This window comes from Homo sapiens, chromosome 11 (assembly GCF_000001405.40).
Source record: "Homo sapiens chromosome 11, GRCh38.p14 Primary Assembly".
Taxonomy (NCBI): domain Eukaryota; kingdom Metazoa; phylum Chordata; class Mammalia; order Primates; family Hominidae; genus Homo; species Homo sapiens.
This window is the reverse complement of record NC_000011.10, coordinates 45,583,743-45,611,180: the sequence shown is the minus strand read 5'-3', so window position 1 is coordinate 45,611,180 and position 27,438 is coordinate 45,583,743. Positions and strand designations below refer to the sequence as shown.

At 47.8% G+C, this 27,438-nt stretch overlaps 1 annotated feature.

Annotated features, from left to right (window-relative positions):
• Positions 4,155–4,654: an enhancer, noted in NCBI's record as "H3K4me1 hESC enhancer chr11:45628077-45628576 (GRCh37/hg19 assembly coordinates)". NCBI's record gives its function as "activates a minimal SCP1, AML or CMV promoter by ChIP-STARR-seq in naive H9 embryonic stem cells {active_cell/tissue: H9 hESC(naive)}" and the evidence as "EXISTENCE:reporter gene assay evidence [ECO:0000049][PMID:30033119]".

Here is a 27,438-nt window from a genome sequence, read left to right as displayed (position 1 = left end):
AAATGCATCGTGACTCTGCTCACAGTACATGTGGCCCACTGTCCTCTTGGGACCTGCAACCTGATTATCAGCTCGTCTTCTCTGGGTGTGTGTGAAGGGGTTAAGGTTAGTTATTTATTGTATTACATATTACCCCAAACTTAGTGGCTTAAAATAACAAGAATTTCTTCTATTTGCTTCTGAGGGTGTCTGTGAGTTGGGAAGCTGGGAGTGACTTGGCTGGGTAGTTCTGGCTCAGGGTCCCTCATGAGGCTGTGATCAAGATGTTGGCCAGGGCTGCAGTCATCCGAGGCTTGATGGGGCTGGAGGAGCCACTTCTGAGGTCACTCAAAGGACTGTTGGTAAAAGCCTTTGGTTCTTTGCCATGTGGGCCTCCTGATGGGGCTGCCTGTGGCATAACTTCCCTCCCCGACTGCAGTGGGGAAATGGGTGAGGGTTGTTGTGGGCTGAGGCTGGGAAGTTGTGCAGAGACTTCATACCACATTTAGGCAATTAGGTAAGACAAATTTTCTGCTTCCCCTCCGACCCTCATCTTCCCCTATCTAGAAGCTCCTCCTGAGGCCAGAGAAATTGAGAGAAGACGCGGCCTCACAACCTTGCCAGTGGGGAACACTGGCTTTGGAAGGGCATCCTGGTTAGGGAGTGGGTGGGAAATGAAGCTTAAGCCTGGACGAGCATGGGCCAGGGAGAGAGGAAAAGACAGCCTTTCTTAGGCTCTCCATCCCCAGACATGGCCTCATCTCCAGTCCAAATTATCCTGTGGGCTCTGTCTCACCGAAAGCTGCTCCCTGAGACATGGAGCATCAAGTTACCCCAGCCAATGTTTTGTCATCAGCCCTTGAGGGGTGTCCCTAGTCTTTGTGGCCCCCAAAAGCTGTTCTAAGCTTGAGATTAACCTGAGATGTCCCCCAGTGGCTAAGTCACAAGAAGAGGGCAGCCAGCTGGGGGTTAGGGTGTGAAAGCCACAGTATAAAGAGAGGTTTTGTGCTGCCACTGGCAGGGGTCAGTCCACAGGGTGGCTGGCATTGGGGTTACCTGTGCTTGGCCTTCAGTGGACGGGGAAGACTCTCCCCCACCCTGGAGGTACTGAAACTTGCCCTTCCTCTTGTCAGTGCAAAGACCCTTGCCATTCACAGCAGTTCCCCTGGTGTCCATGCTGCTTCTGACTGCTCACTCGTTGCCTCTCACCACCCTCATGCTTGTCATGGGCCTGTGGTCATGTCTGTCTTAATACTTTATAGGTCTTTGCTATAGATCCAGGTAATAGTTCCCAGACCCCTCCCTGACCCCCTGTTGTGTGCTGATGTTGGAGAGTTCTGCCATCATGCTCTGGATCATTTCACTTGCTAAGATTGCTGTCTGGGCTCCCTTCTTGAATCTGCCCAAGGGAAAAGGAAGAAGCAGGTGAGTAACTGGGAGGATTCAGTTACTCAAATGACATGAAATGTTGGGAAAGCATTACCTATTCATGCATCCATGCATTCGTTGTCAGTCATCCACCCAACCATTCATCATCCATGAATTCATGTATCTATGAATTCATCAATTCATCCATCATCCTTGCATCTGTGCATCCACCCATCCATTTATCCATCCATCCATCATCCGAATACCCATTCGCCCAACCTTCTATCCATCCATCTGTTCATCCATCATCAGGATACCCATTCATCCATCCATCCATCCATCCATCCACCCATCCATCCATCCATCCATCATCCAAGTATCCATTTATCTAATCACCATTCACATCTATGAATCCATCCTTTTCCTATCCATCCATCCATCTGGCCAACCATGCATTTACACATCATCTGTCATCTATCATCTCTATCTGTGGTGGACACTGTGATGTGCTGTTCAGATCCCCTTACAATGGAGGACTTGTTGCTCCAACTGCTAGGAGTGCTGGTGTCAAAGAGCTTTTAGTGGTCAGTTACTTCAGGGATTATCTCAGCTGAAGAGAACTGTCTTGCCCAAGATTGCGCCCTTTCCCAAGGCAGCCTACATCCAATGACATCATTGTGAGAGTATAAGGGCCTGATCATGTTGGTGCATCAGGACAACTCTGCAGGGCTGTTCTTGCTCCAGAGCTCCCACGGTGTGGGGCCTGCATTCCAGCTTGAATTTCCCTCTGCCTGCTCCTGCTTCCTTTTCTCTCCTTTGTACAGGTGTTGACTCCAAGCATGCTCCTTATTAAACATCCTGCACACTAAACTATGGCTCAGGATCTGCTTCCTGGGGAATTCAACCTGTGTCTCTGACATCATCCTTTCATCTATAAATGCATTTCTCCATCCACATGTCCTTTCATCCAATAAGTAAACATTTACCTTAAACTTGCTGCATGTGTAAGAGTTGGGTATTACAGGGGACAGAGACATGAACTAAAAATGAGTCCTGCCCTCAAGGAGCTCACAGACTGATAGGGATGGTTAGACCTGCCTACAAACAGCTCTAACAAGTAAATCAGAACAGAGAGTGGTCCTCTCAGCTGAGGGAATTGGGGAAGGCTTCATGGGGGAGGTAATACCTGAGATGGGCCGTGAAGGAAGGGGGATAAGAAATAGAATCTGGTTTTGTGGAACTGGAATGAAAGTGGCTTTTATGCAGTATGAACAGCCATTTAAAGCATATAGAATGGAAATGAGACCCATCCACCTGAAGGGAAGAGGCAGGTGCCATGGCTGGGCATAGCTGGACCTTGGATAACCTCATGACAACCACTTTCTATGTCTCTACCATGTCCCTTCCTACAGAGCCCTTCCTTTACTCCCAGCTCTTCCTCCCACCTGCCTCCCCTCTGGCCCCACAGGAAGCGTGGCTTGGTCATCAGCCAAAGCCCTGTGGTCTGGCCATAGTGGGGAGGGGCCAAAGGCCACAGCAGAGAGGAGGGCAAGATGCTTTCCTGGCCGCAGAGAAGAGGAGGCAATGGCATGACTGGCAAGCTCTTTAATCCAGGGCTGCTCACTCCCCAGAAGACTGCTTCCTCCAGCTCCCTTCTGGATTAATAAGAAACCAGATGGGCCCAGCTGGTTGGTGAGAGTCATGCGCTAATGAGGCCAAGATTGCAGCATGACCTCTGGAAGGGCCTGGAAGCTTAACGTGCAGAGAGTCTGTTCACAGATCTCTGACCCAGGCAAAGATGGTAACCCTGACCTTGGCTGGGTACGTGACCCCTGGCCTCTACCATTGACTAAGCCCTAACCCTGATCACAGACTAAGCCCAGTGTCTGGCTGCAGAATGATCCCCAAACACCAATCAATCAATTAATCAACCATCTGACAGCTCTGTATGGAAGAGCTTCTGTAGAGGCTGAATGTTATTCCAGGATGCTGGGGGATGAAGGCATTGCCTCTGGGGCTCACCTGGGTCTAGGGTAGCCACGCTCAGGGATGCTGGCTTCTGCTCACTGTCGGGATGGGTTTTCTATTTGCTCCCCCACAATAATAAGGGCTGCTCTTTTAAGCAGTCAGCTCCCCATCAGAGGAAGTGTCTAGTTGGTAGCTGGTGGACAATCATCCATCAGTGACTTTTAAAGAGGATGCTGGCACTGAGTGGGGCCTTCACTGGACACAATGCTTGCTGACTGAGTGACCTGGGCCAATGAGTTTCTTCTTGAAGCCTCAGTTTTCATGTCACTACAATGGAGATAAAGAAGTATGTATTGGCTGGGTGAGGTGGCCCACGCCTGTTATCCCAGGACTTTGGGAGGCTAAGGTGGGAGGACCTCTTGAGCCTGGGAGTTTGAGACCAGTCTGGGAAATATAGTAAGATCTCATCTCTGTGAAACAAACAAACAAACAAACAAAAAAAACATTAAAAAATAAGGCAAGTATGGTGGCGAGTGCTTGTAGGAGGATGACTTGAGCCCAGGAGGTGGAGGCTGCAGCAGAGAGCTGAGACTGTGCCACTGCGCACTCCAGCCTGGGTGATAGAATAAAATAAAATAAAAGAAAGAAAGAAAAAAGAAAAAAGAAGTGTGTACTGTGCACTTCCTAGCCCTGTGGTGACTGCTTGATGAGACTGTGTGTGTGCTGCTCTAAGCACTGTGCTAACTCAGTGCTCAACACTTCGTAGGCATTTTTGTTATTGCTCTAAGACTATCCCCAGCAGGAGGGCTGTTGAGGTTTTCGTTTCAGGCATTTGAGAAAGGGTGCAATGAATCTTGCCCTTCTTAGCAAATAGCCATGGTCAGGGGCTGGGCCCATGGGCCAAGGAAGGGACAAGGCTGTATACTCAGCAGGGCTTGTTTCCCCACCCAACCTCACCCCCTCTCCTAAGCCCTGTAGCCCCTTGACCTTTTATCCTGGGAAGTGAGAGGAGCCAGGGAATGGGGAATACCAGGGAGAGGAGCCATCCATAGGGAATACCAGGAAACACCCCATTCCTCCCTGCCCCTCCCCAGCTCAGGCAGGTTTAGGGCCATTCTGCAGCCTCAGCGAGAATCTCCATGCCTCGAATGGTTACCATGGCAACCCTGCGGCGGGAGAAGCAGGGGGAGCCTGACTCGGGGATGGGAACCTGAATTTCCAAGGCAGCACGGCCCTCAGGTTGGCTGCAGAGTTCTGATCCTGCTAGGGGTGGGGTGGGGCAGGAACAGGGTGCTCAGGGATGAACTAGCCTGCCCGAGAACCAGGACCTTTGCCCTCAGAGCTGCTAGGGACAAATGGCGTCTTGGCTCAGAGTCTTCCCGTTGCCTGGTTTGTGCCCTTCACAGAGGTCCCTCATCAGGAGCCTGGCTGTGTCCTGTCCTTCACCTGGGTCCCTGCTTTCCTCTCAACCCCACGCTGATTTCCTTATGTCTCCCACCAACTCTGACTCAGGATGTCCCTGATGCCCTCCTGAACTGCCCTGGTCGTGGCCAAGACGCTGCCAGGGAAAGAACTTGAGAGGGCAGAATGAGTTTATTAAAATTCAAATTTGGGTCGGGCGCGGTGGCTCATGCCTGTAATCCCAGCACTTTGGGAGGCCGAGTCGGGCCGAGGCCTGAGGTTGGGAGTTCGAGACCAGTCTGACCAACATGGGAAAACCCGTCTCTACTAAAAATACAAAAAATTAGCCTTGTGCGGTGACACATGCCTGTAATCTCTGCTACTCGGGAGGCTGAGGTAGGAGAATTACTTGAACTCGGGAGGTAGAGGTTCCGGTGAGCCAAGATTGTGCCATTGCACTCTAGCCTGGGCAACAAGAGAGAAACTCCGTCCCAAAAAAAAAAAAAAAAAAAAAAAAATTCAAATTTGATCAAGTCACTCTGTTATTTAAGAACCTTCAATGGCTCCCTAGTGCCTTCAAGGGAATGGTCAAAGCCTTTATCGTGGCTTACAGGCTCTTTCCTACACTTTCCCACCTCGCCCTGCTGAGCTCCATGCACACTGGGAACCTTCAGAGCTTTTGAAGGGTTGCACTCTCCTCCCTGGGCCTTGGCCTCAGTTATTTCTCTCTTCCTGGACACCTCTGTTTACTTACCTGGCTGTCTTTTACCCATTCTTCCTTTGTTAGCCTAGGCTGTGTATCCCCTGGGAAGCTCATGTCAGGATTATGAGCCCCTTTATATTCCCAGATCACTATTCTCTGACCAGAGCACAGATCCTCTTAGGTTAGAATTTCCCACTTACTTAACGTCTTCTTCCTTCAGGGAGTGATACCCCCAGCTGTGGCCTTGCTTGATAACATTTGAGGAAAGAATGAATGAATGAATGAAGAAGCCCCCCAACAATCTGTTGCAGGCTTTTCTCCTGGGGGAGGTGGTGACATGGGCAGAGTCTGGCACTCCCTGGGGACAGAAGGGGAGGCAGAGAAATTACTTCTCTCACAACGTTAGTGCATCAGATTTCAGAAAGCAAAACAAAATGAAACAAAACAAAATGCCTAGGCAGCTGGGTTCCCTACACCAGTGAAGAACTAGACACCATTTAAACATCTGGCCTTTGGGAACTGGTTCAGCAAATTGGGTCTGCCTATTCCATGAGGAATTGTGCAATGATTAAAAGGGACCCTTGAAAAAGAAAAAAAGAAGCCTGGAAAATCACAGCAAAGACTATACAGAAAAATAGCAAAATGGTTGGGATAATTGGTTATAAGTAATTTATTATGATCCTGGGACACACATAATTTTGCATTCTGCTTTTTCCATATAATTTATTATATAGAAGTATATGTACAGTATTTATATGTAATTTATTATACATAAAAATATAGAATGCAAAATTATGTGTGCTTCAGGATTACGTGTATGGGACGATGTTTGCCTATACGGTTGAGACTTGGGAGGGAGAGGATAGACTGAATCTTCATTCCCCTGGGGTTAGGGGCTAACAGAGACAAGAGTCATATCTGTGACAAGGGATAAGGGTGAGAGGAGAAAGGAAGACAGCTTCCCAGCTCTTGGAGGAAGGGGATTCGCTCTGAGGGGCCTCCAGAGAGGGGATGCCTTGATTTCCCATTGCTCCTGCCTCTCTCCTTTGACCACCTTAGAGTCTTGCTGGGAGGGGCTCCCCATCCCTCCTGTTGGCCACTCTGGAGAAGCCACTGAGGACAGGCTTGGGATTCCTGGAGAGGGACATAGGGCTATGTGGACCAGGGACTGCTTCCTTTGGTCCAAGCTCCAGGCTGCCCCCTCTCCTTGCTGCCACATGGCTCCCCTGGTCCCTGAGGAAGCAGAGCTGTGCCTGCCATCTCTGGTGGAGGAGTGTGGAGTCTGTGCTTCTTCCTGTCTGTGGTCCTGATGTGCCTCCCTGGAGCCGGCTCTGCTCTGCCCCTTTCCTTGCTGTCCCACGCCTGTTTGCACACTGATCACCCCCTTTGTCTCCCCTAAGATGCCCCACCTCCAGAGGCCATTCTGAGGATCCTTTGTGCTTTTATTCTCCTTTCATTCCTGTCCCAGCACTGGCTAACGGGACCTCAGGGGAGGCTCCGTGTCTTAACACCACCACTGGACATCCTTCCTTCTCTAGAAAGCCTGGAAAGGGGGTCGATTCCACCCTTATCCTGAGGAAGGGCCTTACTTCCGGGCCCCACTTATGGTATTTCCCATTTCCCTCTGGAGTCCTGCGCTTCCTAAGCAGGAGTTTGCTCCCCGAGGGCGGGGACGTAATCACCGGTCCCAGTGAGCTGTTCTTGGGCCAGAATGTGAGGCACTTGTGTTTTAAGAGAGAGGCCAAAAAAAAAAAAAAAAAAAAAAGGGCTTCATTGTGGAGAAATGATTGTTCAGGGAAAACTGCAGTCTCTGTAGCAGATTGGTGGGGGAGGTATTTGGAGACACAGGGCCAGCTCCACACTCCTGAAGTCATCCTACACAGGGGACTGGGGAGTTCTTTGTATTATTCTGTACTTTCCCAATCATCTAAGATAAACATGTTTTCTTTTAGAATCAGGTAAAAAGCTAATAAAGATTCGTTTCCCCCTTCTTGGCCAGCTTCTATTTCTCCCCTCTACAATCACCCCTAGGGCAGGTAAGGAACTGGTGTAGATGGCAAACCCGAGAGCAGAGCCTTTACCCCACTCTTCCTTCCACGAGCCAGGCAATAGACAATGTGGGCTTTGGAGTCAGACAGTTCTGAGTTTGAGTCCAGGCTTCACTGTCGGCCTGCTGTGTGACCATATGGGAGTTACTTAACCTTTCTGAGCCCCAGTTTCCTCATCTATTCCATGTAGTTAATATCTATGTTCAGGGTTCTTGTGAAGGTGAAATGCGTTAACTTGTTTTTTGTGCTTAGCACAGTGTCTGGCACATGATAAGCACACCATAACTGGTGTCTTCTATTTACAAAAGAGAAAGAAAGTGTTGTTTTGTAAAAACAACCTTCTAAAGCTCTATACAAAAAACTGCCTCCATTCAGGTATGTGTCCTGAGCCTCAAGGTTTGACTCAAAGAATGAATTCCTGGCTGTTGTCATAGGTCAGTCATCCTGCTCCAGTGTCTGCAGAGGGATGTGATGGCAGGTGCTGTTGGCGTGTGAGTGATGCCTGGGCTACTGCAGAGTGTCTCCGTGGCAACTCCGCTGATGCCCACCCCTGCACCCAGCCAACAGGACTCACCCCTCCATGGGCAAGAAGCGTTGGTGGGAGGGGATGAGGCAGAGAGGGATCCTCCACCTATGATTCAAATTCCAGAGGATGAAGAGAAACAGAAAGAGAAAACCATTTGAAAAAACAATGGCCAGAAACTTCCTGATGAGAACTATATACCCACACATTTAAGCAGTATAATGAGTTCTAAACGGAGTGCACACATACACACTTACACACACAAAACCACACAACCACACCAGGACATATGATAATCAAATTTCTAATAACCAGTGACAAAGAGAAAATCTTCAAAGCAACTGGGGAGTAAAAACAGGAAAACAGATAAAGCCATCACACACTTAACAGAAATTATGCCAAGTCAGAAGATAATGGAAACTCTGTAACTAAGAATTCTCTATCCATTGAAAATATCCTTCAAAAATTAAGGCCAAATAAAAGCTTTTTCAGACATACAAAAGCTGGCAAAGTTTGTCTTTAGAAGACTTCTACAACCACAAATATTAAAAGACATTCTTCAGTCAAGACAAGAATGGTACTAGATGGAAAACTGGTCTATGTAAAGGAATAAAGAGTGTCAGAAGTGGGAAAAATATGGGTAAATTTAAGGAATTTTATTTTCTCATTTTAAAATTTCTTTAAAAGATGATTTGTATTGATAGACTTATTATAGAGATAGATGTAAGACGTATGATAACAATAGTATGAAGGACAGGAGGGAGAAATGTAAGTATATTGTTTTAGGCTTTCTTCAACAAGTTAAATATTCATATTCATATTCATATTATTATTATTTTGAGATGGAGTCTCACTCTGTCACCCAGGCTGGAGCGCAGTGGCATGATTTTGGTTCACTGCAACCTCCACCTCCCGGGTTCAAGCAATTCTCTGCCTCAGCCTCCCAAGTAGCTGGGATTACAGGTGCCCACCACCATGCCTGTCTAATTTTTGTATTTTTAGTAGAGACAGGGTTTCACTATCTTGGTCAGGTTGGTCTTGAACTCCTGGCGTCATGATCCACCCGCCTCAGCCTCCCAAAGTGCTGGGATTACAGGCATGAGCCACAGTGCCCAGCCAAGATTCATATTTTAAACCTTATAACAACCACTAAAATAAAACAAAGATATATAGCTAATAAGCCAGAGGAGATAAAATTGACTACCAAAAATATTCAATTAACCCTAAAAAAGACAGGAAAAGGGGAAAAAGGAACAAAGAATAAATGATACAACTAGAAAACAAATATCAAGATGGCAAATTTAAACAAAATGTACCAATGATTACAATGACATATAAATGGCCTAAACATTTCAGTTAAAAGGCAGAGATTGCAAGACTGAATAAAAAAGCAAGACCAAATTATATGCTGTCTATAAAAATTCCATTTTAAATATGGTTAAAAATAAAATAATGGGAAAACTCATATCATGAAAATACTAATTGTAAGTATGCTGGAATGGCTACATTAATATCAGACAAAGTAGATGTCAGAACAAAGAATATCATCAGGGACAAAAATGGGCCATTTTATAACGATAAAGATTTGATGTTCAACTCTGCTACTTTCCAGATAGATGAGGTGGAGACAATTAATTACCCTCTCTGAGCTTCAATTTTTCTCTTCTATAAAATAAGCCTAAACACTTCTACCTTGCAGAGTCAACCTTGCACATTATCAGGTGTAAAGGACCTAGTACAGTGCCTGGCTTTGGGCGGTTGTCATGGTTCTCATTTTTATCAGTGACCCCTGGATGCTGTGACTCTCTTTCCCAGGGAACAGACCCCCCCCTTTTTTTTAATCAGGCGCTCCCCCTGGGGCTGCTTGACAATTATTCATGCCAGCAATTACCCTCTGAGCGCCATCACAAAGGGCTGTTGACTTTACTACTGACTCTATGAGAAGATTCTTCCACAGCTATTGGGAGCCCAGGCTTGCAGTGTGGACGAGGGTTGTGAATACTTGATTACAGGAAGAATTTTGGGAAAAGTCATTTGCACCCCTGAAGTCCTTTAAAGGATGATGTGGAGTCTCCTCAGTTTTCAAGAGCAAAGGTTATTTATGGACCTGTATTTGGGGTTTAAATAAGATTTTTTCTTCTGTGATAGCCCAGACATACTTAAAAAACAAAACTCTATCAAATTTTAAAGACAATGTCAAAAGGCTTCATCACTGAGAAATTATTTGCCAACAGTTAAAAAGATGTGGGAAGAAAGGCATTTCTAGCACAATGGCAAAAGCTCTCTGGGCTTCAGAGTTGTGCAGACCTGGGTTTCAATCCTAGTTTACCTACTGCATTCATTTATTGTGCAGGTCTTTACTGAGCATCTATATGCCAGATCCTCTAGGGACTGGAGATATAGTGGGAAACAGTAGATAGGTCCCTGCCTTCATGGAGCTTATATTCTAGTGGGGGAGAAAACTAATAAGTAAACAAACCAAATAAATAATTTCATATAGTGACAAGTGTCATGAAGAAAATAAAGCAAAGTAACATGATAGAAGGTGTGTGGTTAGTTGGGAGGGTGAGACCTCGTGGAGCTGTGAGTTCCGAGTGGTGAGACCTGAATGAAGGACTCCAGCCAGGTGACAATGAGAGGGAAGAGCATTCCAGGCAGGGGAAACAGCAAGTGCAAAGGCCTTGGGGTATCTGTGTTGAGGACTAAAAAGAAGGCTGATAAAGTTGGAGGGGTGTGAGTGAGGGGTGACTGGAAGATGAGATCAGATAGGTGCGTAGGGGCCTGGTCCCATAGACCCCCCCACAGGCATGATGGATGGGCAATGAGAAGACCCTGGAGGATCTGAAGCAGCCACTTACCAGCTGGGGGGATGTCCCCGTATCAGCTATTTAATCTGCCTGAACCTCACTTTATCTGTAAAGTGGGAATGACACCAATCCCATCTTGTAGAATTGTTGGAAAATCAGGCAGCATGATACATAGTAAGGAGTAAAATGGTACCCAAAGCCTAGCAGACACTTGACAAATGCTAGTGCTCACCTCTTTGTACCTCAACTTCCTTACCTGGAAAGGAAAAGGGTAGGACTTGGTGGTCTCTGTGGCTCCATCTAACTGGAACATTCTTAGTGCTTATAAAAGGAAGGGGAGTTCTAAAGCTGAAACGTTAAGAACATTTCTCCAAAATGAAGATAAAGTAGCTCTGCAATTGTGTTGTAAATCATTGCTGAAATAGGATTCCATTTATAAAAATTCAATTTGAGTGCAATTTTCTCAGGAACACATACTTACTCTACAGAGTAAGGTCAACCTGTGAGCAACACTCTCCCTTGCGGACTGTCTTCTGCATCTCAGCCCATGGGGCTCGGCAGCTTTGGGGGACCGTCCAGGGATGGCTGTCCTAGGCCCCTCCATATAAGAGCTCACTATTCTCACACTCTGCCTGGAGGGCCTCTGAGCTCTGAGCCAGGCAGAGTAGAGTGGGAAGACAACCCTGCGGAATAGAGGGAGGGTCCTTGGGAGGTCCTGGAGTTCCAGGGCATTTGCAGGAATCCTCAGGCTCAGCGCTGCTAATTCCTGTGGTACAAGGAGCCCTGCATAGAACCATCTGCCAGATTGGACTCCGTGGTCGGGGGAAAGGCAAAACCACATTATGGATGGATCATGTCATCTTCCCACTGAGCTCAGATGTGGCCTTGGTATCCTTTTCAGCAATCTCTTCAGGCAGTCTCTACCAATTGATCACAGTTGACAGGTGAGTAAACCTCTTTGCCATCCCTGATCTAATCTTACTCCCATAGATGGAGCAAACGGAGGCCCAGAGAGGGAAAATGAGTTGCCCAAGGGCACATAGCAGAGCCTGATCTTCTGGCTTTCCATTGCCCCCTGCTGACCCCAGGGTGTGAGAGGGCTTGAGAGATTGTTTCCGAGAAGAAAAATGTCATATTACAGATGAGGCCACGTAGATGTAGGGATGTTAGTCAACAGTGCCAGCAGGGGCTTCCTGGATTGCGGTCCTGGCTTTGTTTCCTCTCCCTCTAGTGCCTCTTACTCCTTGATAACCAACAGTACCCTGATGTTCTCAGTTATGTGGTCTGCGGGGACTCACTGACCCCCGGCTTTAAGAGTGGGCCCTGATGAACTTCAGACAATTAGTGTAGCCCCTCCTCATGTCCACAGAGATTACTTCACGACAGATCAGTCAAGGCCAAGGAGATGCCATCTGGGGGCAAGTTCTGGCTGTGTTTTGGGTTGGCCACCAACTCACCTCACTGTGACCTTAGGCCCATTGATTCTCTCTGAGCCTCCTGTTGAAAAATATGTGTATGTGTGTGGAGATGGTGACAGTAAAATCATAGTTTTTACATTGAAGCCTATGAAATAGTGTATCAGGGCCTGTGCCCCTACCTCCCCCTACAAACATTTTATCCAGAGTGTTCTTCCCTTCTTTGGGCTTCTGAGGAAGGTTTGGTTTAAAGAAAGGACTTTGCATCTGGAAAAGAATGGTAGCCCTAGGGACAGGTGACCTCAGGAACGCCACCCACCTGTCCCCATGAGTCATCACAGAAGCTGAGAGTTGGGGTCATTTTTCGAAAAATATGGTCCCCATTTTCCAAAAAAAAGATCAACACACATTTATTGAGCACCTACTGTGCTAGGCCAGTGGAGTTCGTCTAAAACAGCACATTTGTGTTTTTAAAAAACCACATTGAAGCATGCTCAATAAATGAAAACTTAGAAAATAGAAATCACTAATAAGTAAAATTCATTGATAATTCTATCAGAGTTCATCAGTGTTGCAATTTCAGCGAGAGTCATTATTTTCACTCTCTCCCTTTGTCTCTATCTCTTTATGTGTCTCTGTCTACAAGCCCCCTTCCCCCCGTTTTTTTTTGAGATGGAGTCTCACTCTGTCACCCAGGCTGGAGTGCAGTGGCATGATCTCAGCTCACTGAAAGCTCCGCCTCCTGGGTTCAAGCGATTCTCCTGCCTCAGCCTCCCGAGTAGCTGGGACTATAGGCGCCCACCACCACACCCAGCTAATTTTTGTATTTTTAGTAGAGACGGGGTTTCACACTATTGGCCAGGCTGGTCTTGAACCCCTGACCTTGTTATCCATCTGCCTCGGCCTCCCAAAGTGCTGGGATTACAGGTGTGAGCCACCGAGCCTGGCCTACAAGCCTATGTTTTAATTTAGACCCCAGCTCTACCCTTGGCCCCTTTCCCCTTTCAATTCTTTAAAGAGAGAGAGAGAGAAACCCAATTTGCCGATGGGAAAAATGTTTGCTTGGTTTCCTCCTTGGCTGGTCTGGGAGCTGCTTGTCATGTTTCAGAACAAGGGCAGGCAGAGCTCATTTATTTCTCTTTCTATAGCACCTTGGGCCTGAAATCCCAGGCTAAGAGGGGAAGGTCCCTCCAACACTATGTTCCATTCCCAGAGTCAGTGGGATAGGACAGGACACCTGCATTTGTGGACTAAACAACTACCCACAAAAACACCTTGGTGGGGAGGCACTTGAAGGACCCCATCGGAGAGAAACATACAGGCTTTCCCAAGGGCTAATGCTGGGAAAACCCACTCATCCTTGTAGAAAGTTAATAAACAAGGATATTGTCACGTACACGTTAGTGAGAATGAGGGATGTAGAACAGATCTTCAGTGTGACAGGCTAAAGTCCCAGGCAGCAGGCTGTCTCATGTCCAGGAAGGGCAGTCCCCGGCTCTGTCATGTCCCATTTTGTTCTATGATTGCTTCTTTCACAGTGCATTCCAATTTGGGTGTCAGTCACCTCCACGACACTGAGTTACTGAGGCTGGAACAAGCTGAGCATTAGCAGAATCTTCCTGAGTTAGCTCACCTACCTTCACATTGTGCCATATCACCATTTTTTCACTTGATACGTCTCATGACAATTTGTAATCATGTATTTGTTTGAGTATCCATTTCTTGCTGTCTCTTCCACCAGACTGTAAGATCCATGTGAGCAGAAGCTGTCTTGGTTTGGGTTTCCCCAAAACAGAAACTGAGACAGGGATATTGTATTTGGGAGATGACCTCAGAATGTACTGTGAGAGAGTGGGGAAGAGACAACAGGGAAGGGAAAAAAGTCAGTCAATGCGGTGCTTATTAGGGGATACTGCTATGGGCAGTGGGAACTCAGTATGGTTGGGCAACCTCTGATAATTTGTGGGACACACCTCTGAATCCCGCACCCCCCCACCCCTCGAAGCTAGGATGTTTATTCACACCTCCCATCCTTTGTTGGTTGAGGGTTGCTCAGAGCTGGAGGGATGTTAACTCCTTGGCATATCTAGCCTGCCCGTGCTTGGGGGGAATCTACTCCTGCAGCTGGAAAATGCATCCAGGCACAGTGATGCAAGAATAGGGAGATGTGAGTGGAAATGACTCCGGAAGACCTCTAGGGCAGGCCGAGGGGATGTGGATGTGGGTGGGAGGCAGCACCTGGATTCCATGCAGCGCTGTATCTGCAGTCTACAGGCCAATGCCATGGACATGGTCAGCAGCCAGTGATGACTTGTGGAATAACTGAATGAGTAAAGAAACGTCTCTAGATGAAAATGGTTCACAGAGCAGAGACACTGGAGCTGAGCAAGCCCTTGGAAAAACTTAGCATCCAGCATTTCCCAAGCCGTACACTGCACCTTGGGAAAAAAAAGGGTCCGGTCACTGTAAGTTTGCAACTTACTCTTTATGATTGCCTGCTTTGGAGAAATACAATCTAAGTGAACATAGTAAATGTTCTGAGAAGTCCTGCAATAAAAAACTTGTTTAACTCGATGTTTTCTGATCACTTTGGTTGCCAACACTTTATTTATTTATTTTTTTGAGACCGAGTCTCGCTCTGTTGCCAGGCTGGAGTGCAGTGGCACCATCTCGGCTCACTGCAACCTCCGCCTCCTGGATTCAAGCGATTCTCCTGCCTCAGCCTCTTGAGTAGCTGGGACTACAGGCATGTGCCACAATGCCCAGCTAATTTTTTGTATCTTTAGTAGAGATGTGGTTTCACCATGTTGGCCAGGATGGTCTTGATCTCTTGACCGCCAACACTTTATTTTTAAATGAAACTATTCTTTCCCTCTTAGCCTATTTTAGGAGCTGTGGCTGGTACAAGACCCTCACTGTTCAGATAGAAGGCTGAGGTTTAGAGCACCCAGGTAGGTTAATCCCATCTGGATCACTGCTCTGTGGCAAGGATAGATTTTTTGCCTCTGCCCTCCTTCCTGATTTCCTAAGCTCCAGCCTGTGTAACATCTTCAGCAGCACCCCCAGTTCTGGGGTGGACTGTAGCAGATCATTACTCTCCTTCCAGCCCACCACACCTGAGGTCTGGATTCTCCCAAGTGGTTTGGGAGACAATTCTTCACTGGTCAGCTCCCACAAAGGAGGGACTGGGAGAATAAGACAGGGCAGGAGGCTTGAAGCAAGCCAGGAAATTTCCTATATGTTTACCCCGTGGCCAGTCCTCAATTTATTTACATTGAACATTTTAGTAACCATCTGCTCTTAAAATAAACAGAAAATTATCCTTCTCCTGCTGTGATGGCAGCTCCCTCAGATGTTCTTAATAAAAAAAAATCTATTATTTTAATGCAGACAGCTCAGCTAATAAAAATGATCGGTGCCATTAGTAATTATCCCACAAATACAATGCAAACTAGCTGAGAGGCTTGCATGGGCCCCACTGCCTGGAGTGGACCTCCCTGGGTCTGGGGCAGGGCAGGATGGCCTGGCACCTATATGAGAGCCGATGAGTCTGAGGAGGGCAGAGTCCCAGAATTCACACAAAGGCTAGTACCAGGAAGAAGATCTGTGGGGCCTGCAGCCTGGATCTGGGGAGAGTTAGCACAGGAAGGGGCAAAAGAAGTAATGCCTCCTACCCATTATATTAATGCTTCTTACTGGCCGTTACCCCAGCTTCTGCCATGTAACCCTGTAAACCAGAAACTACTGACCACATCAGTCAAACCCTCTGCATGGCCCTTCAGAAAAGGCAGCTGGAGGGTCTCAACCAGGAGTTGCAGAATCATATGCCTTTGGGGGTCAGACAAGCAATATAAATGTGCAGAGAATTAGGGGTGTTGAAAAAACAGAATTCTGGGCCTTTGGCAGGCTGGAAGAAGAATTTCTCACTTAAAAACATTTGAGTGAAACAAAAATTTAAACATACACTGGGAAAATTAAATATATTGCTGGTTGGATTTGGCTGTGGGCCATCAGTTTGAGACCCTGGTCTAAGCCGTGGACTCTAGCCTCCCCGACACACTGCTAATCTTTGCTCTCTCAGGGGAGAGCTGTATCATTTCCATACTATTTCAGGCTGGGAAATCAGAGGTGTGAACGGGATGTACAGACAGATGTGTAGGGGCATCCCTCCTCAGAGCCTGGGGTGGGAGGGTGCACCTCTGCATTCCACCTGTAGGCAGAGAAGCAGATGGAGCCGACCCCAGGCCAGAGGACGGACCATGAATGGATCTTGGAAATAGAGCGTGAGGCTTCTTGAATCCCGATCCTTTGGAGGCAACTGACTCCTCTGCATCCTGGAGTTGAGCAGGTGGTAGAAGTGAGAAAGGAGGGGAAGGGATGTCTGTTAGCTTCTAGTTCAAGTTGGGCAGTGGCCACAGGCCCAGGACTTTAGATAGCTAAATTCGTTAGCTAAAACTCATTCAGTTGCAAGGGGCTGAAACCCAACTGACTTAAAGAAAAAAGTAGTATTTTGGCTACTGTATTGTAAAAAAAAAAAAAAAAAACCCAGAGAGTAGTTCTGGGTTCAGGCATAGGTGTATTCAGGGGCTCAAACAATGTCTTCAGAAACTATTTTTTCTCATTTCCCTGCTCAGCTTTCCTCTATAAGTGTTTCTGTCCCAGATGGCACCAGCCTCATGGGGACAAGATGGCTACCAGCTGCACAGGCGATGCCCGCCCTTCTCAGCAACCTCAGAGGGAGCCAGACCCTTCCCAAAACACCAACCAAAGTCCTGGAATTGAGCCCTCTTGGCTCTGATTGGTTCAGTCAGGGCACACCCCTATCCCTGAACCAATCACTGTGGCCCAGTGATATCACACTCTAATTGGCTGGGCCTGGCTGACAGGTCCTCCTTCAGGGGGAGGGGTTCTGGGTAGTCTCCATCCCAAAGAGGAAAAAGAAGAAAGGAAGGAAATAGAGGTGTGTCGCGTGCCTCCTTTGTGCCAGAATGGTCTGCACACTGCACGTACGTTATCTTATTTAATATCTCCATGAGGTAAGAGCTTGACTCTCATGCTCCAGACGAGGAAACTGGAGTTCTGAGAAGCTAGTCACTCACCTCCCATAGCCCAGATGTTGGAGAAAGGCTGTGCCCTGTAGTTGGCACTGATCAGGGCGGCAGCCTGGGCACTGTGAGGCTCTCACCTTGCTCACTCCTCTCCTGCAGACTGGCTACTCATGGCCATTGCCCATATTCCTATTGAGGTCTTTTCCTCTATCTCATTGGTAAGTAGGATAAAAACAGTGCAGTTAGCGCTGGCCCTTTTCTTGGGGCTTGCGATAAGTACAGGTGACTGTCTGCCTTCCCCATCTGACTGTAAGTTCCTAGCAGGGACTGTGTCTCATTCACCTCTGGATTCTCAGTCTTGGACTGGAGATCAGGAGAATTCCAGTCTTGAATCTGCAGCCCAGTGCTCAATCTCCTTGGCTTTGCCACTCTTCAGTGGGGCACCTGAGCCCCCTCTCCTGATGGCTAGGTCCCCTAGAGCACAGCTTTGAAACTGCTGGTGGGACCTGGGGGTGTCCAGTATGAGTCCTTTGGATGTTGACATTCTTCGGGCTGTGCTGAGAGCTCTCCCCTGGCTCACTGTCCACACTGGTCTGCCTGTGAATTCCATGTTGGATGGTGCTCTAGACAGGTCTTGGTTTCAGGACAGAGTCCAAGAGAGATGACTGTTTCACCTAAGAAGGGCAGGAGTCAAAGAAGAGGGGCTCATGTTCCTTCTCAAATACCTCACCATGTGCTTCCCACAAACTGACTCTGGACTGGCCTGCATGGATGTGGGGAGGGGAGTCCAGGCCCTGAAGTCAGGTGCAATGCTCTCTTCTCTGGTCATCTGTGACCACTCTCCATCTGGCTGTGACAGCCCCACAGACTTCTCCATTCCAGGCAGCTCTAGAGAGCTAGGAAAGGGTGGGAGAGAAGAGAGGCTGCCCCTGCTCCCACGGCCCCCTCCCAGCTTTCCAATCACATCAACAATTTCTCTTGGCATTGTTTCCAGTCCCATTAATATTCATAAGTGACTTTTCTACTGTGCTTGCGATTTTCTAGGAGACAGACAGGCCCGCACTTTCCTGTGTTAATAGGATCCAAAGCTCACCAACTCAGATCTTATTAGCAAATCTCCATTAGATACCGTGGCCCTTCTGGGCTGCCTGATAGGCGAGCTTTGCACCACGGGTGACAGCCAGAGCAGGTCTTAATCCAATATGACTTTGCAATCCCCACTGCAGAGACAAGCCCAAGGAGGAGCCTGGGCAAGGAGCAGATCAGGCTGAGCTGGCCATCCTATTAGGGGTGGAAATGGAGTCCCTGGGGCAGCCAGGGCAAAGAGGCTGGCTGTGGATGGGCTGCCTCCCCTCCCAGAAAGGGGCACTTTATTGATTCCTTCCTTCAGTCACTTGGACTTTCATTTATTCAACAAAATAATCACTGATTGCTTCCCATGTGCCAGATCCTGGGCTATGGCTGCTTTTTCCCTCCCGAGGCTCATTGTCTGGGTAGTTGGTGGGGTGGACAGCTGTGCTTATGAACAATTGTTCCATGGCAGGTGCCATGCATAGCCCAAGGTACTGATCCCCAGAGACAGGCAGGTGAGCAAGCAGGGTTTAGCAACATCTGGGAACAGAGGAGCAGGCTCTAGGAAATTTGTGGGTGGGGAGCAGTGGCTGGCAGCTACTCCTAGGTCTACCTTGTACTTGCAGAAGCTGCTTTCCAGCATGCATTAGCTGCATGACCTTGGCCAAGCCTCTTTACCTCTTTGCTGTATCTTTTCCCATCTGTAAAACATGGCTAATAGCAGTGTCTTCCTCCTAGAGTTGCCATGAGGATTAATGGTACCTGACACATAGGTAGCACTATGTTGGTGTAGCTATTATTATTTGGGGGAACTCCAGGGTTCCTCTTAGCTTTAAACTTCTTGAACTGAGCCCCAGTTTCTGTGTTGTGTGGAACAAGCTTGATGTGTGCAAAGGTTCCAGGCTCTGGGCACACGCAGGCCCTCCTGAGCTCCATGGCTGCTTGTTGTAAAGTCAGGGCATTTAGTGGGCACTCAGGGGTACTGTGTGGCTCCAATGCTAAGCCCCTTTGCCACTGAGAAAACACTGATGTGGATGAAGGTCCTAGGGGTGGTGGGGGTAAACCCAGGTCCTGGATGAAAGGCAATCAAATCTGTGAAATCAGAGAGTTGGAGCAGCTGACCTGAAGGGAGTCTTTCTAGGTCTGAAATTCGCTGACCTAAGGTACAAGGCCCAGACCCCACCCTCTCTAGGTGCTTGAGGTAGATGAAGCTGGGAAGCCCCGTCTGCTATAGGTCAAATGTGCCCCAACATGCTCCCAAATGATGGACCAAATGTGGGATTCCGTGGTTAAGGCGTGACAAAAGCATGGGAAGAGAGACTCTGGGGGCTGGGGAAGTCAGGGAGGACTCTCTGGACGGGGCAGGACTTGATCTGATCCAGCTTCTAAGAATGTGGACAGGGAGAAGGCAAGGTGATCCAGGTGATGGACACTGGAGGGGCCAAGGCGTGGAAAAAGGCTGGAGGATGGAGAGGAAGGGAGTGGAAGCAGTGAGGCTAGGAAAGACCCCTTGTCTTCAGGAGGCCACAAACTGGTGGTCTGAGATCTGTGTTGTTGGCTCAGTGTTTAAAAATATGTGATATTTAAGGGGTGCCTGTGTGTTTTTCCTTGCCGCCATCCTAACCACTCCTTGTATCACACTAGGCCCGGTTTATACTTTTAGGTTGCCTGCCTGACACTCGGAGGCACTGGAGTTTGTGACCCCCACAGGTAGAACCTTAAAGATTTGGTGGGAATTCAAGCCCCAGGTGAAGTCTGGGCCATTTGACCTTAAAAGCTCTAGAAATTGTTATTAGAGTCTGGGCCCTGGTGAGCTGTGTTATTGTGAGGCCTAAGGCTCCTGGGCTGGCCACAGAGATGGCAGAGTGCCCCTGGCCAAGTCCCTATAAAAGCAGAAGCTGTGTCTCATAATTCCCAGACCCGCTTTGGCAAAATGCCCAGTCTCCCTTCCTTGTGGAAGGGGAATTTTTGGCTGATGGGCGCCTGAGTTCGTGATCAGATTCCTGAAGTCCAAAATGGCCAGAAGCCATTCTCTGCCCACTCTGCAGCCTGAGTCTGTCCCTGATCCCCTTCTCTGCAGGCTGCAGCAGTGCCAGCCATTTCCAAAGGCCTGGCTTGGGAGGAAGAGTGGGGCAAATAAAACACCTGTGAGAGGTGAGAAGCTCTCTAAATTCCCTAAGTTGGTTTCAAGGCTGAGGATTTTTATCACCAGCGAATCTCGGTGTTTTTGTGAAGGCAACTGAAATCTGGATGCTTTGCAGTCAGGGGGCCCAGGAAGAGCAACTTTGGATTTTCATATGTAGCTGGGGTTTGCCAGGGAGAGGGCATGGCAGGGGAGGTGGAGGGTGGGTGGGGAGCAGGCTGTTGGAGGGGCAGCAAGACGTTGTTGTTGGGGACATGGGCTTTCTGAGTCACAGACACCTGGGTTGGAACTCTGCCTCAGCTGCTGGAAAACTGTGTGACCTTGAGCAAGCCCCATAACCTCTCTGAGCCATTGCTCGACAATGAGTCTGTCATTTGATAGGCTTTCGACAAAGGAGAGCTATAATTATGATTACTGTTATTTTGGGGCTAGCCTTGTGGAGTCCTCAGCTGGTGGACAGCTGAGCTCTTCCATCTTTGGGAGAATGGGTGGAGCATGGATCCTCTGCCCTTTGACTGCAGGCTGTACTGATCCAAGGGGTCCAAAGGAGAAAACTTTGAGCCATTATTGAGCAAGGCAGCTGAGGAGTAGAAACGTAGCCTGCACAGAGAGCTGTGTTAGCCTGGCAGCTCCCAGCAAGCTCTGGGGCAGGTACCCAGGGATACTCTTGGGGATCAAGGGTCAGGCAGTTCTACCTTGAAGAACGAAAGCATCAAGAGTGTCACAGCTGGCAGGAACTTTGGGGACTACCCAGGCCAATCCCATCAGGGTTTTTTTTTTTTTTTGACCACTTGCATAGTGTTAGGGTTTTTTTTTTTTTTATTGCCACTGTAACAAATTAGCACAAGCTTGGTGATTTAAAACAAGAATAAATTCATTTCAAACTACCAAGTTTAAAATAGTTTTGGAGGCCAGAGATCCAAAATCAGTATCACTGGCAGAAATCAAGGTGTGTGCAGGGCTGTGCTTTCTCTGGAGGCTGCAGGGGAGAATCCCTTCCTTGCCTCTTTTAGCCTCTAGGAGCTCCTGGCAACCCTGTGCTTGTGGCTGCGTCACTCCAGCCTCTGCCTTTGTGGCTATCTTGCCTTCTCCTCTTCTGTCTGCCACCATCTTTTAAGGGTACAAGTGATGGCATTTAGGGCCACCTTGATAATCTGGTATAATTGGTATAATGTCCCCATCTCAAGATTTTTTTGTTGTTGTTGTTGTTGAAATGGAGTTTTGCTCTTGTTGCCCAGGCTGGAGTGCAATGGCTTGATCTTGGCTCACTGCAACCTCCACTTGCCATATTCAAGCAGTTCTCCTGCCTCAGCCTCCCAAGTAGCTGGGATTACAGGCACCTGCCACCACACCTGGCTAATTTTTTGTATTTTTAGTAGGGACAAGGTTTCACCATGTTGACCAGGCTGTTCTCGAACTCCTGACCTCAGGTGATGCACCTGCCTTGACCTCCCAAAGTGCTGGGATTACAGATGTGATCCACTGTGCCCGGTCTCAAGATCTTTTATTGTATCTGCAAAGTCTTTTTTTTTTTTTTCCATATCCTTATATGTATTCACAGGCTTCAAGGATTAGAACATGGATCTCTTTTGGGGGCCATTATCAGCCTACCACACCATTAAAAAAGGCTTTTTTTGGAGTTAATTTTAGACTTATGGAAGAGTTGCAAAGCTAGTCAAAGAGTTCCCATATAGTCCTCACCCAGTTTCCCCTTATGTTAAACTCTTCCATAATCATACAACATTTATCAAAAATTAGGAAATGACTCTTGTTACAATATTATTCACTATTAACTAAGTTTTGGAATTTATTCAGATTTCACTTGTCTTCCCACGAATGTTCTTTTTCTGTTTCAGGATCCGGTCCAAGATATCACATTGCATGCATTTAGTGTCTCCTTAACATCTTCCAGTCAGTGAGTTTCTCAGTGTTCCACTGTCTTTTATGACTTTGACAATTTTGAAAGGTACTGGTCAGTTTTGTTTCGGTGGAGTATTCTTCTGTTTGTGTCTCTCTGGAGCTTCTTCATGGTTCTATTGAGGTTACGTGTTCCTGGGACAGATACCATAGAGCAATGTGCAGCACAACTGCATCGTACTGGGGATATGTGATGTTGGTATGTACTAGTCATACATACCTAGTGATGTTAACCTTCCTCTCTTGGTTAAGGTGGTGTCTGCTAGGATTCTCCATTATAAACTTACTATTCTTCCCTTTGTAATTACTCCTTATTTAGGAGGAGATACTTTGAGACTACACACATATCTTGTTTCTGCTCAAACTTTCACCCACTAATTTTAGCATCCATCGATGGATCTTGTCTGTGGCAATTTTGACTATGCTGTTCTATTTCCCTCATTCCTTCTACATTTATTTCTCAGAATCCTTGTGTAAGATGTTAAGTCTTCTCTCCTATTTATGTCTTCAGTTATTTATATCAGTATGGACTCAGGAGCATTTCTTTTATTCTTTGGGTTACAATTTAGCAATATTGTTATTGATCTTGTTGCTGAAGTCCTTTCAACTTTGGCTGTTGGGAGCTCTTTCAGGGTGACTTCTGAGCCCTTTCCAATTGTTCCTCTCCTTCCTCCCTCCTTCCTTCCTTCCCTCCCTCCCTCCCCCCTTTCTTTCTTTCTTTCTTTCTTTCTTTCTTTCTTTCTTTCTTTCTTTCTTTCTTTCTCTTTCTTTCGTTCTCTTTCTTTCTTTCCTTCTTTCTTTCTTTCTTTCTTTCTTTCTCTTTCTTTCTTTCTTTCATTCTCTTTCTTTCCTTCTTTCTTTCTTTCTTCCTTCCTTCCTTCCTTCTTTCCTTCCTTCCTTCCTTCCTTCCTTCCTTCCTTCCTTCCTTCCTTCCTTCCTTCCTTCCTTCCTTCATTTCTCTCTCTCTCTCCCTCCCTCCCTTCCTTCCTTCTGTCTCTTCTTCCTTCTCTCTCTCTCTCTTTCCCTCCTTTACTCTTTCTGAGGGTGAGTTCCCCCCATGACTATAACCTGTGGTCTTGCACAAGCTTAGAAATTAGTCCCAGTCTTTCTGTAGATGGTTTTTGATGGACAAGGACTACATCTCTCACTTCAAAGTTCCTGGCACTTAGCACTGGCTGAGCACAAAAAACACACTCAAAACCATGAGTGTTCTTGGCTTCCCTTCTTCACTCAGCCCCCTTTCCTTCCCACTCTTGGTCACTGAAGATCTGGCCTTGTCTCCTGGAGCATATTCTCAGGAGGCAGGGGAAAGACACGTGAGGAATGTGGGCCTTGGAATCAGATCTGGGTTCAAATCCTGTCTCTACTGCTTCAGGCTCTGGAAGCTTGGGCAGCTGACCTACCATCTGTGCCCCTGGAAGACAGGGATGATGGAATCAACCTTAGAGAGCCAGTGCCAGGATGACAGAAGACAATAGATGCAGAGAAGGTTGCACCCTGCTTGGCCAAGTCGGTGGTGACTGCTGCAGCCTTCATAGTTGGTTAGAGAAGAAAAGGCAGATGAAGTAGGGGGAGGGTGGAATCTCTGCTGTTCAGTCCTGTTTCCAGGTGAACTTCAATTTTATGCATTCCATTTAAAATAGAAGGGATTTGTGAAATATATAACCATAGGTGATTTGAAATGGATAAATTTGTGAGGCTTTGCCTATAAATGTGTTATACATAAGACTAAAAAGATCCTCATATCTCCTCTCTCTCTTTTTTTTTTTTTTTGCAAGTAGGGTTCCTGTGTTTTCCATGTTATGCCCAGGGTGCTCTGAGCCCCAGGACTCAGAGACCCCCAGATGCCTTGTTGAGTGCCCCTCCTATGAGCATCCTTATGCCTCTGCCTCCTTGGCCCACAGGAAAGCAAGCAGCGGCAGCCTGGCATAGCTTCCTTCCCTGACTGGAAGAAAAAGCCTGATGTATTAATGACCACACTTAACAGGCCTCAATTTTAATCTCTGCTTTAAATTTGGCACAATTGTTTTTACAATAAAGCCTGATTTTTTTCACAATAGGGTGCTGAGTGTGTGTGTATTCCATTCAAACACAAAGAAAGCCTGCTTTACTTACTGCAAGAAAGGAAATAAATAGAAATCAGCCTTTGTCAGACTAGAAATTCATAGATTCCAGTCATATGCCAGGCTGTTCAATGCCCCCTCTCCTCTGCCTTCTTTGACATCTCCCTCAGCCTCAGTCTCATTCTACAAGCATTCCTGAGCACCTGCTGTATACCAGACGCAGGGATTAGGGATGAGTGGGGTACATGACTGCCCTCCAGGAGGGAGAAGTGACTGCTTTAGGGGGTCACAGGCTGAAGCTGAATAGGCTGGACCCGGACCCTGTAAGCCAGGTAATTGGGATCAGTGTTTCTCAAAGTGTGGGTTCCCTAGATGAGCTCAGGCACTCTCAGGCTTGGCATCAGTCTCACTGAATCGTGAGTAAGAAGGGTACTTACTTTTGAAATCATTGTCAATCCTGATCCTGGTAGGAGAATGTCTCTGGTGGAGGTTGGCATGTCTTTAAGGCCTTTTGAGCCCTTGAGATCTTTCATTTTAATGAAGAAAGCAGAGCACAGGTTCACAGCCTTCTCGGGCCATGGTGGTTTTTGGGCAACGTGATTCCGGTTTTCTAATGCAGGAAAGAGAAAACTTTCCTTTTTAAATAAACTGATCTGTGTTAAGAAAAGCAGTTGATGTAAAGAAACATATTAAGTCAATAATTATGTGGACGGCATGAGTACACAACATTCTGCTAGTGGTAGTGCTGGGATGCCTGAAGACAGTGAACACTGATCTGGGTGATCATTCTCTTGGTGTTTATTTCGCAGGTGCCATTCCTGACCTCAGGTCTAACAGTCCCAGCTCTTAGGTGCCTGGGGACATGTGAAGGACATTTGTCCATGATTGGGTCAAAGTGTCATGGTTCATGAGTGTCCTTTGAAGTCAGCATGGTGATGGCAACAGTAATCAGAGAGACGCCTCAAAGGGAAGGTGCGAACTGGGGGCCCAGGCAAGTCAGAGACGGGGCCCCCTCTCCCTGGGAAGAATTTCCTCCAGTCTAACCTTGGAGAATGTGGATTTGCCTTTATTAAGGAAAATGACATTTCCTTACACAGATGGTGCCTTCTTGGCACTTCTGTAGCCCTAAATAAGTGTTTGCGGTTTTGGGGATAAAGACATTTCCATGAAAGAAAGTGGAGAAACTCCTAACTGTAACTGAGGGTGGAATAAGATAGAGCTAGACGAAAGCACATGTGCTGTGCCTACAGGAGTGCATGATGAAGTCTGACAGGTAAGCAGGGAAGGCTGCCTGCAAGAGGTGGCATTTTAGTTGCTCCTGAAAGGGTGGACTGGGTAAAGCATGGGGCTCAGGGCACTCCTTCTAGGGAAAACTCTGGTGTGGTAGAACGGATTGGAGTCAAATAGCCCTGGGCTTGATTCCAAGATCTTCCCCAGACTAACTACCTGACCCTGGATAAGTCACTGCACCTTCGTTTCCACTTCTGTAACATGGGCAACGAGGCAGGGGGCTGCCTCTGGCAGGTTTAGAGGGAGAGTCTCCCTAGGGTCCACATGGTGTGACACCCCCCATTTCTCCTGTGTGAGTGAGAAGCTTTCCGGGAGATCAGCTCCAAGTTGTGGGATGAAGAGCCATTGGGCTTAAGGTCCTGTCTTGGGCTCAGTTCCCTCAAGAAAAGCCTGGCTGGTGACCCTTACACACGTGGTTTATCGAGGGAGGACTCTTAGGGGACAGAAGAGGACAGGCAGAAGAAGGTAGGCAAGGCTGTGGTCCCACAGAGAGCTATGGAGCAGGAATTGCATCACACAGTTTGTCCCGCCTGGTGGCAAGAGGGTTTCCCTGTTCTACAGTCAGTCATTGGCTATGGGCTGCCTCTGGGGTGCAGGGAGGTAACCTCCCAGCCTTCTCTGAGTGAGGCAGCTCCTGTCAGCTGAGGACAGTCCTTCAGAGAAGGGCTGCAGGTATGAGCAGCCAGTACCTCTGGGCGGAGCAGCCAGCACCTGCGACAGGCCCCTCGGCTTTGGGGAAGTGGTTGCAACCTTCTCCCGCTCCCGTGGCTTCCAGTCTTAAGCACTGGGTTGACCTGGAGAAGGGAAAGAGCCACAGGAGGGCTCAGGGGACCTCATCCTTTCCCTGTGGGGGAGTCGGACCTCAAGGGGTGGCCCTTCTGCTACCCAGTGGGCTGTGAGCAAAGGGTAAAGAATGGGCCTTGGCACAGCCAGGCAAGCATGCAGCTGGCAGGAGCCGGTGGACCCGGTCTTCAGGAGCCCATAAACCAGACAAATGAATATTTGATAGAAATATAATTCCAGAGGATGAGGGCCCTTGTTGGCCCGACGGTGAAATACAATGGCTGTCTGACCTCGCGGAGGGATAAATCTGCCCAGAGTGCTTTCCAGCCCGAGACGTGGAAGCCCCTCTGATGCAGCTTTTGGGAGAGCTTAAACACTTAATGTGGGGATATTTATTGTCTGGTGGAGCACTGGGATTACAAGGTCGTCCTGGTCACAGCTCCTCACCCTGCCCCAGGCGCGCCTTGCTGCCATCCTGGTACCCCGGGGCTGCCTGCTGCTGCGTGGCTAGAACGACCAGAGGCCAGCACTGAGAGGGAGCAGAGGGAGCACCTACCTTTGCCTGCTGGGCCTTGTTAAAGGACAGGGAGCCAGATAGCGGAATGGTTTCCAGCAGGGGGAGGGATCAGGTAGATCTAGGTGAGGATCCTTGGGTAGGTTACCTACCTGCTTTGGACTCGGCTTCTTCAACCATAAAATGGGCTAAAACTTAACCTACCTCATAGGGCTGCAGGGATGGTTAGGTGGGCAAATGCACCTAAAGTGCTTAACATCGTGCATGGCTCATAGTCAGTGCTCAGTGAAGGTCAGCTACTATCAGAGCATCTCAATAATCTGTCTCTAGGTTTAACACTGGCTAGCTGTGTGTCCTTGGGCAAACCACACAAGCCCCAAAGCCTCAGTTTCCTCTT